Raw genomic sequence first — 15,041 nt, 5'->3', positions numbered from 1 at the left:
GGCTGCAGGATCTTGACAAACCACGTAACTTCTCTAAGCCTTTGTTTCCTCATCTGTAAAATGGGGACACTTATTCCTACTAGGTAGGGGAGACAGTATTTGGAGGTGTAAAACACCTAGCAGGTCGCCTGGCACATGGTAGGTGCTCAGGAAGTGGAAAAGTTTTTACAGCTATGATTGGGAAGTAATAACCCAGCACATGATGGATGACATCAAAGCAGAAGGCTTTGGTTAGATGTCACCTACTCCAGGAAGCCAGCCCCAGCCCCTCAGTCTGCGTGAGGTGCCCGTTTAGGCATCCTCAGCCCCACCCCTTCCTGAGCCAGTCAGCCTCCCTTCCTGACCCACAGCCCAGTTTCTACTTGGTACCCAACCTAAAGAACATTGAGAAGCCCCCGTTCACTGATGTGTATGATCTTATTAATAATAAAAATAGAGAGGCTCATTATCTAACTACACGGAGTGCCTTTCAAACTCTTGGAGAGGGGTGTGGTAAACATGACCCCAGGGGCGCATCAGGGCCTGGTTGGCATGGAGGCCATTTGTGCCACAGCCAAGGACAGGCTGCCCCAAGCCCCCTGCCTCCCAGCTGGTTCTCTCTCCTAGGTCGGGAACTACAAGCGGACTGTGAAGCGGATCGACGATGGCCACCGCCTGTGCAGCGACCTCATGAACTGCCTGCATGAGCGGGCGCGCATCGAGAAGGCGTATGCGCAGCAGCTCACTGAGTGGGCCCGGCGCTGGAGGCAGCTCGTGGAGAAAGGTATGGGGCCCCGGCACAGGTCCTGTGGCCTGGAGGCAGCTACACCCCAGCCGGGGGCTCTGGGCACGTTGTGACCCTCTCTATGCCAGTTTTCTGTCTTTTAAGATTGGGGCAAGAGTGCATTTCCCAGTTCCAGAGCGGGGTGTGATTTTTATGGGGAGCATTAGCGCCCATCACCAGAAGGCACAGGCTCCATGAGCTTTTGTCCACTTTCCTTGGGGACACAGGACTATAGCCCTTGTCATCCATAGGACACACTTGCACTTGCCGAGTTAACTCAGAACTCGGGTAAGTTCCTATCACGTGGAAGGCCTTGCCGCTTGGCACCTTAGTTTCTAACACTGAGAGCTGTTTATTTTTAAACTTGGCCATGTAGCAGGTCAGATAAGACTAGCTGGCAACACCTGGCAGTCTTTCTGAGTTTACATTTTAAGGGAATAATTACAGGTGTTGTATGGCAGAGGTTTCACCCCCTTCTGTCCCCACCGAAAAGCTCAGAAGATTCTGTAGCTTTATTAGTGCCACTGTTGTGTGGACAGGGGCCATGCTTAGAACACACTTCCCAGCAGGGAAGGGGAACTTGACTGATTACAGCCTTTCCGGCACAGAAGCAGAGCAGTGTGGGTTTCTCAAGGTGTGTTTTGGGGCAGGCTTTCCTGTGCTGACCAGCTGTCCTCAGCCCCAGCTGTCCTCAGCCAATCAGGGGAGCCAGGTCCCAAGCAAGCCAGGTCTAGTCCAGCTGCCTGTCCTTTCCCGTGATGCTGACATGGGTTGTTTGTGTGGGCTTAGCACAGTCCTTAGGGCAGGGTATGTGCCCAGGCTGTGGAGCAGGCACGTGGCAGAGGAGGGGCCTAGGATAGGTCAGCTCCCTTGGTCGGTGGCAGTGTCGTCATTTCGTTTCCACCTGCTGCAGCCCCTCTCCCAGGATCAAGCTGTCAGTCAGAGCTTGAGGTTTACAGAGCACCCTTACCACCCTCACCTTGTGGGTCTGGCTGTAACGTTGTGGACAGGACAGGAATGTGCTCATTTTGTAGACACGAAGGCACAGAGAGGTCCAACTTCCGGGGCTGTTCTCTGTTGTCTCCAAGCCCCAGAGTCACGTGTCCCCCTCTGGGTTCTCACAGCCTGCCCTCCCCTCAGCCCACCTCTGTCATGACTCAGCGCACTTGGTCACTGTCCCTGTGACCACCTTGAAGACCAGCCATGGATCTTCTCGATTTCTGCCCCGGCTCCGTTGTGGCTCTCCCTCCCTCCAGCCTCACGCCACCCCACCCTACCCCCTGAATAGAAATGCCAGCCTGGATTAGGGCTTCCTTCCTGAGCCTCGGGGACTGAGAACAGTGAGTAGGGAGAGGCGACTCAGCCCCTCCTGCCATACTGGTCCAGAGCAGGCTCCTGCTTCCTCCTCTCCTTCCTCCTGCAGGATGGGCTTCCATTCTGCTGAGGGGACAGTCCTCATTCCACAGTGTTCTCAAGCTTGTGCTCAGAGCCAGGCTCTTTCTGGGAGTGAATGAACACAGTCCTGCAGAGGAAGGCAGTGCAGGGCTAGCCAGGGGCCAAGCAGGGCTGATAGGAGCCATGCCAGGAGAAGCGTTGGCATGGTGTGGGTGGGTGCCCAACACCTGGGAGAAGCATCTGCTCACTTCAGAAGGTCCCCCCTTCTCTGGCCACCTTTAAGTAAATTAAGACTTCTAAGATGTGGAAATTTGAGTTTTTATAGAGTTCAGTGGCTTTAAATAAAGGAAAGGCATGGCCGGGCGCGGTGGCTCACGCCTGTAATCCCTGCACTTTGGGAGGCCGAGGCGAATGGATCACCTGAGGTCAGGAGTTCGAGATCAGCCAGCCTGGCCAACATGGTGAAACCCCGTCTCTACTAAAAATACAAAAATTTAGCCAGGCGTGGTGGCGGGCACCTGTAATCCCAGCTACTCGGGAGGCTGAGGCAGGAGAATCTCTTGAACCTGGGAGACAGAGTTTGCAGTGAGCCAAGATCACGTCTCTGCACTCCAGCCGGGACAATAAGAGCGAAACTCCATCCCAAAAATAAAAATAAAGGAAAGGCATGTAATCCCCCAATTTTCCTAACACGAGGGGCAGAGCAAATTCAGCTTTGGGAACTGAAAAAGGCACAGAGTCCCTGAGAGAAAAATATCTGAAACCCTGAAAGGAAACCCTCTGTGGTCTAAATGGCCACATTGAACAGCCGAGGTGTGAGCAGAGCAGACCCCACCATGGCCGGCGCTGAGTGACCCGCAGCTTCTCTCCCCTGCACAGGGCCCCAGTACGGGACCGTGGAGAAGGCCTGGATGGCCTTCATGTCCGAGGCAGAGAGGGTGAGCGAGCTGCACCTCGAGGTGAAGGCCTCACTGATGAACGATGACTTCGAGAAGATCAAGAACTGGCAGAAGGAAGCCTTTCACAAGCAGATGATGGGCGGCTTCAAGGAGACCAAGGAAGCTGAGGACGGCTTTCGGAAGGCACAGAAGCCCTGGGCCAAGAAGCTGAAAGAGGTACATCTGTCCTGCAGGCTTCCCTGCCCGGCCTTGCTCTGCCTGGCACCCCACTAGCAGCACCACCTCCTGCACCTAGGACTTCCTGCCACTGGCTGTAGGCACAGGAGGCCAGACCTGGTAGAGATGAAGCCACTCCTCAGGCTAGAAGCCCATGGTAGTTGACATTTACCCAGGTTGAAGATGCTGAATGCTCTATGTGCATTCTTTAAATTTTTTATTTTTATTTTTTGAGACAAAGTCTCACTCTCTCTCCCAGGCTGGAGTGCAGTGGTGCAATCTCAGCTCACTGCAACCTGTGCCTCCTGGGTTCAAGCAATTCTGCCTCAGCCCTCCGAGTAGCTGGGACTACCGGCACATGCCACCACACCCTGCTAATTTTTGTATTTTTAGTAGAGACGGGGTTTCACCATGTTGGCCAGGCTGGTCTCGAACTCTTGACCTCAGGTGATCCACCCACCTTGGCCTCCCAAAGTGCTGGAATTACAGGGCATTCTTTAAATTTGATCCTACCAACACATTTTACAGATTTGGTAACTGAGGATCAGAACCATACATTGGTGGTAGAGCTCAAAGCCCAAGCTCTTAACCACTAACAGTACTTCTCCCAACCCTGGGGAAGTGTCTGCTGGAGACTTAAAAGTCCTTGCCGGGCGCGGTGGCTCACGCCTGTAATCCCAGCACTTTGGGAGGCTGAGGCAGGCGGATCACGAGGTCAGGAGATTGAGACCATCCTGGCCAACATGATGAAACCCCATCTCTACTAAAAGTACAAAAATTAGCAGGGCGTGGTGGCGGGCACCTGTAGTTCCAGCTACTCAGGAGGCTGAGGGAGGAGAATCACTTGAACCCAGGAGGTGGAAGTTGCAGTGAGCTGAGATCACGCCACTGCACTCCAGCCTGGTGACAGAGGGAGACTCTGTCTCAAAAAAAAAAAAAAAAGTCCCTTTGGCTGCTCTGCGTGTGCAGTAGCCTTTCTTTATTCCTTTACTTTCTCAATAAACTTGCTTTCACTTTATTTTTTTTTCAAGTCCCTTTGACGATAGAAAGAACTAGTTTACATTTTTCTTTCTCTTGCATAGGTTTTTATCCCAAAATTTCAAACATTGATACCTGTTTTTCTAAAAGTAGCAACCAAAGCCATTGAGTTTTGTCGAGCCTTGGCTAGTTGGAGGCTGTCATCTGTCCACCCCAGCCCTCAGCTTGTGTGCCCCGCCCCTGCCTGCAGCCTCGCCCCCCATTCCTAGCTGGAATGGAGTAGACGGTAGATGTGCCACCCCCAACACCCAGATGTTCTCTGGCCTTGCGCTGCCTTCCTCCGCCTCAGAATCATCCAGAACATGCCTCTGTCCTTCCGGATGGTTTTCTCTGTGTCTCCTTTTCTCTGTGTCTTAGCTTTTGTCACATCTCCTTTCTCTTCTGTTTTGTCCCTGGCCCCATTCATAATGAAACTGTCTGTGTCTCATGAGGCCTTTGCTAATAAACTCCTCCTTCCCTCTAGAATGAAATTTGTGGCTTTGGCTCAAATAAGGAAGGATCTGTTAAGAGTGTGTGTGTGTGTGTGTGTGTGTGTAAAAACCATTAAAACCAGAGGAAATGTGGCTGATGGCCCTGCCCCCTAGTATGGTCCTCTCTCTCATGCTGGGTTCCTCCTTGGAACTTTCTTTGTATTTGCCGATCCTGCGGCCTGGCATGGTCTTCCTGGGATGCCCATAACCCCTCCATGTGCGTGTTCCATGTGCGTGCTCCATGTGCGTGTTCCATGTCATCTCAGTGGCTTTCTCCACCCACCCCATGCTCCGTCTCAGTTGTCCTCCCCTACACTTAATGCCCTCTAATTGACTCTGGCATGTAACTTTTCCTATACTGTATCTGCCTCCTGCAACTCAAATGAAAGCTTCACAAAGACCTTGTGTTTCTTGCTGTGTTCCTGGTGCCTCGAACCATGCACAGGACAAGCAAGTACTCCATGAATATGTGTTGAGTGCGTTCCTGTTGTGACTGGTTGCTATGATAGTATACATACAATTTTGTACCTGCCTTTTTCTCCCCTCTTGGTAGCACAAGCATTCCCATGGTCTGTGTGACTTCTAGTGAGGATCCTGAACTCCCAGTGACATGGCATTCAGGAACTCATTCTCCCTGTAGGTAGAAGCAGCAAAGAAAGCCCACCATGCAGCGTGCAAAGAGGAGAAGCTGGCTATCTCACGAGAAGCCAACAGCAAGGCAGACCCATCCCTCAACCCTGAACAGCTCAAGAAATTGCAAGACAAAATAGAAAAGTGCAAGCAAGATGTTCTTAAGGTAAACTGTACACTTGTTTTTACACGTCGAGTGTCACCGTGTCAGTTGTTGACGTGTCTGGCATATAGCCTTCTGTAACTGCTTGGGTGAATGGGTGGATAGAGGGATAAATAACCAATAAAACACACCCCTGTCCTCAAGAAGGCCACAGGTGAGTGCCCTAGCACCTCGCCTCACCATAGCCACTGTACCTGCTCAGTCAAGGGACAGAGCCAGGCTCTGGGCAAGCCAGGGGTAAGAGACAGCTCTTGGTGCTCAGAGACACAAGGACAGCTGGGATTGCTGCAGGGAGCTGCTTGTGCCAACATGGGCGTCGCCAGTGGTGGGTGTGAATGGGTGTGGCTGGTGGCAGGTGTGAATGGTTGTGGCCAGTGGTGGGTGTGAATGGGTGTGGTGTGAGCTGGTATGGAGGGTTATGAGGACCAAATCACCAGTGGCCTGGACAGCCAGGCTGAGTAAGGAGCTTAGGATGCTGCTGACCAGGAGCCACTCAGGAAGGCCTGAGCCTGGGTGGGATCAGGGAGGAGGTGAGGAGGGTGAGATGGTTTAGAAGGATTGCTCTGCTTGTGTAGGGAGAGGGGCTGGGGGCAGAGACCTGGGGGAGGGACTGCAGGCTGGGAGCGCTTGTCTGGGGGAGCCAGGTGGGAGGGAGGATGGAGGGGCCCTGCAGTCTCCACAGTGACAGGCCCCGAAAGTGAGGCAGAGGCTGTGGAGCCAGGGGTGGCAGAAGGGTGGTCTTTGGCCAAGGAGAGACCGTGACCAGGCACTGTGGCATCATGGGTGCCCTTCCATTTCTGTTGTGAAGCGGAGATTTTCTGCCCCATGGGTTAATGAGAAATCATTGTGTAAACTATTACATGCTCCGCAGGTGTAGATAAGTGATTCTGCCTGGAAGGTCCTGGAGTCACAGGACTTAAAACCAGACAGCGTCATCGTCTTGTGATTTAAAAGTTCACAGGAAGGGAGGGGCTCAGCCCTCGGCCCCACCTCCCCTCCTTTGGTCAGCCATGAGGGGTGAGGGCTGGGGGGTGTGATTGCCGAGGGCCTGCCCTGCCTCGGTGTTTGGAGAGGAGATTCCCAACCAGGATTTGCAGAGAGAGACGGAATGAGGTAGAGAGAGGCTGCACTCCAGGAAGAGGACATGGGCAGAGGGGAGGCAAGAGGCCTAAGCTGGTTTCACTACCCACCAGCCTTTCCTGGCCCCTGTCAGTTAGGTGGTGGCATCCCTGTTTTGTGAATGAGGAAACCAAGATCAGAGAGGTTAAGTCACGTGCCATCCAGCAGGTGAGAGCAGGAACTTCTGACCTCAAGCCCATACATATGCCCTTTCTCCACTGTTCCTCACTGCTATGCCGTCGGTGTAGCAAGGGGAACACGTCATCTACACGAGAGTTCGTCACTCAGACCAAGTGTCAGAATCCTCTGGGAAACCCCTCTCACTCCCATTGCTGGAGCCAGGAATCTGGGCTTTTGAAGCAGCCCAGGTGCCTCCACGGTGGGATCAGGTGAGGAGCCTGGAACCAACTACTGAGTGGGAGGCACCTGGGCTCAAGAAGCACAAGGTCCGGGAGAACTCTCGGGCCTTTGCCAGAATCCCAGGGAATCAGGTGCCCAAAAAGGTGCCTAGAGGAAAGATGGGGCTTCTCCATGTTGGGCGGGGGCGTGCCTGTGTGAGAGAAAGGGAGACAGAGATGGAGAGGAAGAGGCCTTTCATGTTTGACAGCCACCCAGAACATCAACTCAGGCTTTTGCAGAACAGGCCCAGGGCTCGAGGTTGGACATAAGCGCCTGGCAGGATGACTGGGACAGTTTGTAGTGGGTTCCCTCCTGGGACCCTCCCTGCCTCTTTGGTCTGGCCAGTGACTGCAGGATATGAGAGGTCCTTGTGTGCCTAGAGCTCTGGAGAGGAGGCCAGTCCCTCCCCACCACCCTTCTTGACGCAGTTTCCAAAATCCAGCACACAGCCTGGGAAACATAGTGAGACCTCATCTCTACAAAAAATTTAAAAACTTAGTTGGGTGTGGTAGCACGTGCCTGTAGTCCCAGCTACTTTGGAGGCTGAGGCGGGAGGATTGCTTGAGCCCAGGAGTTCAAGGCTGCTGCAAGCTGTGGTCACACCACTGCACTCCAGCCTGGGTGACAGAGTGAGACCTCATCTCTAAAGTAGGTAAGTAGGTAGGTACATACATACCTACCTACCTACCTACCTACCTACCTACCTACCTACATACATACCATTGCTGACTGGTTGCACATGTACTTTCATGTTTCTTATCAGCCATCAACTACATCTTGTAGCATCCATCATAAAAGAACTTTTTGCATTTAGTGCTAAAATATTACAATCCACCTAAGGGTGAAGGCCGCCTCTTGTTTTACTCCATGGGTGTTCGCTGAGAACTTTCTATGCCCTGCAAGGGGATTTCCAGAACAGTGATGACCCTGCTGAGTACCTGGCCTGTGCTGGGGGCAGGACTTGGGGCTAGCAGGGTCGGCACAGGCTGAGGGCAGGGGCAGCCCAGAGGTGGAGCATCTTGTTGCCACTGAGTACCCTGAGAGCTCCCGGGAGGCTATTGTGTCTTGAAGGCTCCTGAGATGGGGCTGCTCTGTGTCACTTCAGCAGTATCCTCCAGATGCTGGGCGCTGAACCCACAGCTATGTGTCTTGGGCTTCTGAGCTAGGCTCCCATGCAGGGCTGCCAGGTAGTGGGCACGGGCAGTGTGGATGGCTGTGGGGAATAGGGGAATAGCCACAGCGCTGTGGAGCTCTTTCTCTGCTGGGCATGCCCCAGCCCTGGCAGGGGTGGCCTTTTCCTGGCACAGAGGACCCAAGCCCAGCCATCTTAGGAGGCTGAGAAGCAGAGCAAGGACCCGGATACCAGGAGAGGAGAAAGGGGCAGGAGTCAGGGCCCTAGAGGGCGGGGTGGAACCTGGTCTCACGAGGCTGGGGAAGGCTTCAAGAAGAGGAGTTGCTTTGGAGCCTGAAGCAGAGTCTCCCAGGGCTCTGAGCCACGTGAGTCAGAGGAGAGCATCTGGGAGGGGAGCCGCATGGGCAGGGTAGACTCAGTCCCAGCTGGGGGCAGAGAGGGTGCCCGATAGGCCTGCAGTGTCTCGGGAAGCGCTCCATCCTTCCTCAGAAGGCCCTGCACATGTTGTTAGGGACAGCAAAGCTTAGACCTGAGTGGAGCCCGTGACTACCCCCATAGTAGAAAGAATTGCAATAAATAGGTGGCCCCAGCCCTGCTATCTCTCACCCACCCCAGGGGGACAACACGACCATGATCCCACCAACTAACAAAACCACCTGGCCACCAAACTGGTGGCCCTGCATGCTGAGATGAGGGGGTGCGGGGAAGTGTGTACCAGTGTGAGGTCATTGACCTCGAGGCACATCCCCACCAGATGAATGTGCCCACTTTAGCCATGTCTTAGGAATTTCACACGTTTTCTAGCTGCCCCTGGATATTCTTGAGATAGGCCACACCTGCTTTTTAACATTTCCTGCCTTGTAAAACCCCTTCTTGGGACAATCTGGGAGGGAGCAGCTGTGTGAGGGGGATGGAGTGGGCTGAAAGACAAGAGAAGGAGGACTTTTTTTGAATGCCTTCTTCCTGCACCCCATCATGTACATATCAGAACACTGTGAAGGAGAGATGTCCTCATCTGATAAAGGACAGTGAGGCTCCAAGAGAGCTGCAGGATTCAGCCCCAGCCCCACCTTTGCTGTGGGCCAGATCTGAGGCTTGAGGGTAGCCAGGCACAGCCCTTCCCCACAGGGAGAAGAGGACATGGGCGTGTGGCACGCTCAAGACCATACACACTGAGTTCTGGGGAGACTGCCCTTTGCCGGCATCTACCTGTCTGGGCCTTGCTCCAGCTGAGAGACAGGGCAGATGGCAGGAGTGTGATTCACCTTGCAGGAGTGGAGGAACTGGGACTTGAACTTGAAGTCTGTCAGAATCCAGAGCTCCTGTTTTTTCTTTGCATTTGGAATCTGGGAAGGCCTGAGACACTCCAGGGGCAGGGTGAGCCAAGGGCTAAATGGAAATGAACCTCTGTCTTGTGCCTGGATTTTCCTTTAGACCAAAGAGAAGTATGAGAAGTCCCTGAAGGAACTCGACCAGGGCACACCCCAGTACATGGAGAACATGGAGCAGGTGTTTGAGCAGTGCCAGCAGTTCGAGGAGAAACGCCTTCGCTTCTTCCGGGAGGTTCTGCTGGAGGTTCAGAAGCACCTAGACCTGTCCAATGTGGCTGGGTAAGTTTCCTTTGAGCTAAAACACACACGTCATTGAAGTCAACGGAAAGTGCTTTTGAAGCAAACTCAGATGCTGCTCCCAGGTTTGGGATGGCGCGTTCATCAGGAGGTCTCCTCACCGCCCTCAGGGCCTCCTGCTTCTTTGTAATCTGGATGGCAGGGAGGGCCCCTCTGCTGAGTGTTTCTGCAGCTGCAGGCATGGCCGGCTGGACCTCTGGAAGGCCTGGTTGACCCGGCCAATTGCTGGCCCAAGCAGATAAGGCCGGGCCCACTCTGCCAACTCCATGTACAGGTCTGGGTGGGAATGGAGATTGCCCATTCTGGGGCCACAGCTAGGACCAAGGCAGCTGGCATATCTTTTCTTTTCTTTTTTTTTTTTTGAGACGGAGTCTTGCTTTGTCCCCAGGCTGGAGTGCAGTGGCGTGATCTCAGTTCACTGCAACCTCCTCCACCTTCTGGTTTCAAGCAGTTCTCCTGCCTCAGCCTCCCGAGTAGCTGGGATTACAGGCATGCGCCACCACACCCAGCTAATTTCTGTATTTTTAGTAGAGATGGGGTTTCACCATGTTGTCCAGGATGGTCTCGATCTCTTGACCTTGTGATCCGCCCACCTCGGCCTTCCAAAGTGCTGGGATTACAGGCGTGAGCCACCGCACCTGGCCGCAGCTGGCATATGTAAGATCCACTGGAGGTGAATCTGGCATTTCTGGGCTGGTCGTGCCTGGGACAGTCTTTCTTTGAGGCCCTTTGTGATCAGGTGACTGCTTAGTGGCTCTCAGCCCCCAGGACAGCACATACCCTCTGAGACTTGGTTCTGAATTGTGATATGGAAGCTGTGCTGTTTCTTCTGTGCTTTCCTCATCTTTGGTTCTGTGATGCCTTCACCAGGGCAGAGGTCCCAGCTAAGTCAAGGACGTGGATTACTGTCATCCATCTAGCAGAACCGTGTAGGGATGCGTCACGGGTCAAGGCTTGCTGTTAATAGGAGACACATTCCGTTTGTCTCCCTCTGTGTAACAATCATCAAAAGCAACAGTTACTGCACCGCTGCTGCTCTGCCACCATTCCATTTTTATGATAGTCTTGTAAAGTGGGTGGCACTGACCCCATCTTATTGATGAGGAAGCTGAGGCTGGGTGAGATTAAATGACTTGCCCGAGGCTGCTCTGCTGGCAGGAGCAGGGTGAGGCTGGCCTGTGTCAGGCTCTTCTGCATGTGGAGTGACTCCCATCGTGTGGATGCTTGTCTGTCTCTGTGTCTGGATTTCCCCCTTTTAATACAGGCACCAGTCATATGGATTAGGGCCCCTGCTAGTGACCTCATTTTAGCTTGATTACCTCTATAAAGACCTTATTTCCAAATAAGGCCACATTCCGAGGCACTGGGGTTTGGACTCCAGCATGTCTCCTATGAAGGACACAATTCAACCCTTGATGGAGGGGATCATGCCCACTCAACGGAGGAGGAAACCGAGGCCCAGAGAAAGTACATGACTCACCAGCCATAAAGATTATAAGTGAAAATATCAGGTCCAGCAGTGATCCATACTCTTCCCTGGCAGGGCAGCTTCCTAGGAAGGTGAGCCGATGATGGCTGCCAGGCGGAAGGCAGCCCCCACCCCGTCTTGGTGGTGGGTGTGTTCAGCACCGGGTCATCTTCACGCTCTGCATTGGCAAGTCTGGGTATAAAGCTTTTCTGGACAGAGATGAGGAAGGAGGGGTACTTTCTAACACCCTCCAGTTTTCTCTTCCTCAACTCTGGGCCTGGTGAAATGGGACCACACAGAGTGGTGGCCCACACAGCCCACCTGCTGGTGCCTTTTGCATATGTGACACAGAGCAGGGCTTAGTCATTGCCACCTGCTTGGCTGGTTTGATTTAAAGCTCATTTGTCAGGAGCCATCTGTGCACGTGGCGGCCCGTGACCTTCCACCTGAGCCAAGGGAGGAGTGTTCTGGCTCTGTCTGTGAAACCAACTCACAGAGGGCAGAGACCACGGGACCTGCTGTGGCTGGCACTGGGCTGGGACAAAGGGTAGCTGGCCCCTGCCTTCTAAAAGAGCCACGTTTCTCTCTGATTTAGCTACAAAGCCATTTACCATGACCTGGAGCAGAGCATCAGAGCAGCTGATGCAGTGGAGGACCTGAGGTGGTTCCGAGCCAATCACGGGCCGGGCATGGCCATGAACTGGCCGCAGTTTGAGGTAAGAGGAGGGTGTGCCCATGAGCTCATCAGCCTGGAAGAGGACCTGGGCCCACAGAGTTGCTAGATGATGTCTTTCTCATTCTAGACTCTATGTTAGTGTTTGCCCTGTTTATCAGGCAGCCTTTAGGCATAGCTATAGTACAGACCAAGTTCTGGCATAGAGTCCTGGGGGGCTGCAGGCATTACCGAAGGCCTTCTGAACCTCTCCTGAAGTCGCGGTTATGTCCTCTCTAGTTGGGAATGTTTGACTGTCACTTTTTGGCCACTGGCATTCCCTTCCTTCCTAGTCAGTCTCAGGAGCCGTAGGCACACAGGACCTCAGGTCCCTGACCCACCCTGTGGGATGGCCAGGAAGGGAGCAGCCACAGTGCTCCCCTCACGGTGGGCCAGGGGAGGGGAGGTGGTCTCAGTGGGCAGCCCTCCCTACCCTTCCAACAAAGGACTTTTCCCTACTCCAGGCAGTAAATTCAGTGAATCCTGATTCAAAATGAATGTTCTTCTTTTCCCATCATGTGGGTCTAAGCTTTCATTATCTTTACATTCGAAATGCAAGGGCCTGGGGATCTCAGGACTCACCTAGCCCTTGGATTGGTCACTAGGCCCCACCTGGCACCCTGAAGGCAGTGGGCAAAGGTCCTGGTGCCCCTGAGGCTTAAGCACGTGGCGTCAGCTGCCCCAGCAGGGATGCTGAGGGCGACTACCTCTGCTGTGGGCGTGGGCCTCGTGGCTTCCCCGACTCAGCAGCGGCCAGAGCCCGGGCTGCATTCAGATTCTGCTCACCTCTGACCACCTGTGGGAAGCTGAGCAAACTATTCGCCCTTTTTGTGACTCAGTTTTCCCACGTGTGGAATGGGAATGACAAGAGCACCCATCTCCTGTCGGGGGCTGTTAGGGAACATGGTGACTTTGTCCACGCAGGGCTATTGACCCAGGCCCACCACTCAGAAACCTCCTGGGCGCCTCATAGCCTGCAGTTTTGTCAGTCCTTACTCCTGCACTTCTTTTATGGCCCTTAACAGGAAGGTTTTTCCAAATGACAGTGTGGGCCCTGCTGCCGAGCACTCCCCTGCGCCAGCCCCAGGACTTGCTCCCAGTAGGAGGCAGTAGAGCAGCTGTGCCCCTTCCACAGAGGCACTGAGAGAGCATGGAGGGCCAGAGCCGTCCTGACTGGAAGCGGCCCTAGAGGGGACAGCACAAAGCCCAGCCTCTCCTCTGGAGCCACACACCAGGAAGTCTTGGCTGACGTGTTTTGTGCACAGCTGGGGTTTCAGACACAGCGAGGATTTGCTGCTCCCGGAGTGGCACAGGAAACCACCTGTGAAATTCGCCTGGGTCCCTTAGAGGTGCCCATTATACCCAAAGAGGGGCACAGTGGGGAGGACTATTTGACAGTCTGTCTCCTGGAGGGTGTCCCAGCCAGAGCCTAGGGGGTCCTTCTCTCTGTGGGTCCATGGGCTGGGAACCAGCCCCTGTGCATTCATTCTGCGCACATTTGCAGCTGTTACGGGACCATGCCTTTCTCTAATGCAATTCTTTGTTTTTATTTTTCATGCCACAAGGATGAAGTAAGTGTCTGCGTTCGGCTACCTCATAGAGTGCCATACGCCATGCAGGGTGTCTGTGGCCCGCATGGGTGGGTGTGCTGCCCCCGCTAGGCTCCTAGCAGTTCAGCTGAGGCTGCGCTGCTGTCAGGGGTATTGAGAGCCGGCCCTTCCCATCAGTGCCGGCTTGGTGTTGATCCCATTGGCCTTTGGAAGCCACCCAATCAGGATGAATTTATATTCAGAGGTCACTGTGGAGAACTCTGAGGTTCCAATTGAGTTCTCAGTCAATCTATTTTGGTCAGAAAATAATTAATAGATGAAAAGGTGACCCAGATTTGGGGTCGGGCCCAAGTCTGCCACCCACACTGCGTGGGCAAATCACATTGCCTTTCTGGGCCTCAGTTTCCTAATCTGACAAATGGACAGGTTAGACAGGATGCTTCTGAGTTGGCTTCCAACCCAAAAGTTCTGTAAGTACGTGTGAGCAGAGCCGTGGACTCAGCCACACCAAGTTTTAATCAGAGTTGTCTGGTAACTGGTGGAGATGGGGGGAAGGAGAGCTCATTAAACACCTGCGGGCATGCACAGACTCTTCTAGAAAATCAAGACACAGTCTCCATTCATGGTTTTGCCCTAGTCCATTTTCAGTGCGGTTGGTGAAGCCAGTTCGCCACCCGAGAACTCGTGAGGCTTCCAGGAGGAGCGTACTCTGCTTTGCTTCGTTAGCCCCAGCATGTGCTCAGATCACAGAGGAAAAGTCCCAGGGCAGCAAAACACTGGGGAGGGCCCTGCGCTTTGGAGACTGAGAGTCTGCTTGCCTGCCCCTTCTGTCAGCGGGTAGCCACCTAGCCCTGGTTTTATTTGCAGTGGCTTTATTTGCACCTGGTTTTATTTGCACCTGCCTTTCCACATGGCAGGCTTGCTCAGGTCTCCGAAGCCAACTGTCTTGACCCTGTGGCCCAGGGACAATTTAGGGCATCGACGCAAAGGATCTTCAGCACTTCAGGACAGGTGCCTCAGAGGCTGGCTCCTGTCTACTTTGGGAGGCTCAGCAGACATCTGGGGAGGCCACAGGGGCCCATGCTGGCCTGAGGGGGCTGGGACTGAGAACCTTGGTGGGTGGGGTCAGGAACAGGAGGCCCCGGACCTTGCCCTGGTCCTCGCCACCCCCGCTGGTCCTCTGGGAGGTGGGCAGCATGGCCTGGGGGTGGTTGTAGAGGTGCAAGCCTCCAGATCCCCTGATGAGCCCCTGCTTTGAACAGTGAGGAGGGGCTCAGGTCGTTTGGGTTCATAAGTGGGGCATGGGGAGCCTGAGGTCTTCTGGGAAACCAGGGAGAGCTGGGGCCCTGAGTCTACACATCAGATGCACAGAGCCAACTGCAGGCTCGCTGGGCAGGAACTGAGGACAGACGTGGCTTCCAGCAAGTAGTGAACCTTTGGTTTCTCTCCCTCGGCACCT

At 54.0% G+C, this 15,041-nt stretch overlaps 1 protein-coding gene across 10 annotated transcripts in view, besides 5 other annotated features; it reads left to right on the top strand.

Annotated features, from left to right (window-relative positions):
• The window catches only part of PACSIN2 (protein kinase C and casein kinase substrate in neurons 2), a 145,384-nt gene that overhangs the window by 120,930 nt on the left and 9,413 nt on the right, over positions 1 to 15,041 (top strand). For 7 of the 10 annotated variants that reach the window (NM_001349968.1, NM_001349972.1, NM_001349973.1 and 4 more), the window contains 6 exons: positions 607 to 763; positions 3,038 to 3,273; positions 5,422 to 5,577; positions 9,659 to 9,834; positions 11,916 to 12,036; positions 13,598 to 13,603. In NM_001349968.1, the coding sequence (NP_001336897.1) occupies positions 607 to 763; positions 3,038 to 3,273; positions 5,422 to 5,577; positions 9,659 to 9,834; positions 11,916 to 12,036; positions 13,598 to 13,603 (852 nt within the window). The remainder of the gene's footprint in view (positions 1 to 606; positions 764 to 3,037; positions 3,274 to 5,421; positions 5,578 to 9,658; positions 9,835 to 11,915; positions 12,037 to 13,597; positions 13,604 to 15,041) is intronic. The other 3 variants (NM_001184971.1, NM_007229.3, NM_001184970.3) reach the window with 1 other exon arrangement.
• Positions 1,098 to 1,197: an enhancer, noted in NCBI's record as "active region_19179". NCBI's record gives its function as "activates an Ori minimal core promoter by ATAC-STARR-seq in GM12878 lymphoblastoid cells {active_cell/tissue: GM12878}" and the evidence as "EXISTENCE:reporter gene assay evidence [ECO:0000049][PMID:35858748]".
• Positions 4,375 to 4,434: an enhancer, noted in NCBI's record as "active region_19178". NCBI's record gives its function as "activates an Ori minimal core promoter by ATAC-STARR-seq in GM12878 lymphoblastoid cells {active_cell/tissue: GM12878}" and the evidence as "EXISTENCE:reporter gene assay evidence [ECO:0000049][PMID:35858748]".
• Positions 11,203 to 11,776: an enhancer, noted in NCBI's record as "H3K27ac-H3K4me1 hESC enhancer chr22:43278450-43279023 (GRCh37/hg19 assembly coordinates)". NCBI's record gives its function as "activates a minimal SCP1, AML or CMV promoter by ChIP-STARR-seq in naive H9 embryonic stem cells {active_cell/tissue: H9 hESC(naive)}" and the evidence as "EXISTENCE:reporter gene assay evidence [ECO:0000049][PMID:30033119]".
• Positions 11,777 to 12,351: an enhancer, noted in NCBI's record as "H3K27ac-H3K4me1 hESC enhancer chr22:43277875-43278449 (GRCh37/hg19 assembly coordinates)". NCBI's record gives its function as "activates a minimal SCP1, AML or CMV promoter by ChIP-STARR-seq in naive H9 embryonic stem cells {active_cell/tissue: H9 hESC(naive)}" and the evidence as "EXISTENCE:reporter gene assay evidence [ECO:0000049][PMID:30033119]".
• Positions 12,352 to 12,926: an enhancer, noted in NCBI's record as "H3K27ac-H3K4me1 hESC enhancer chr22:43277300-43277874 (GRCh37/hg19 assembly coordinates)". NCBI's record gives its function as "activates a minimal SCP1, AML or CMV promoter by ChIP-STARR-seq in primed H9 embryonic stem cells {active_cell/tissue: H9 hESC(primed)}" and the evidence as "EXISTENCE:reporter gene assay evidence [ECO:0000049][PMID:30033119]".

Source organism: Homo sapiens, chromosome 22 (genome assembly GCF_000001405.40).
Source record: "Homo sapiens chromosome 22, GRCh38.p14 Primary Assembly".
Taxonomy (NCBI): domain Eukaryota; kingdom Metazoa; phylum Chordata; class Mammalia; order Primates; family Hominidae; genus Homo; species Homo sapiens.
This window is presented reverse-complemented; position numbering and strand designations above follow the sequence as displayed.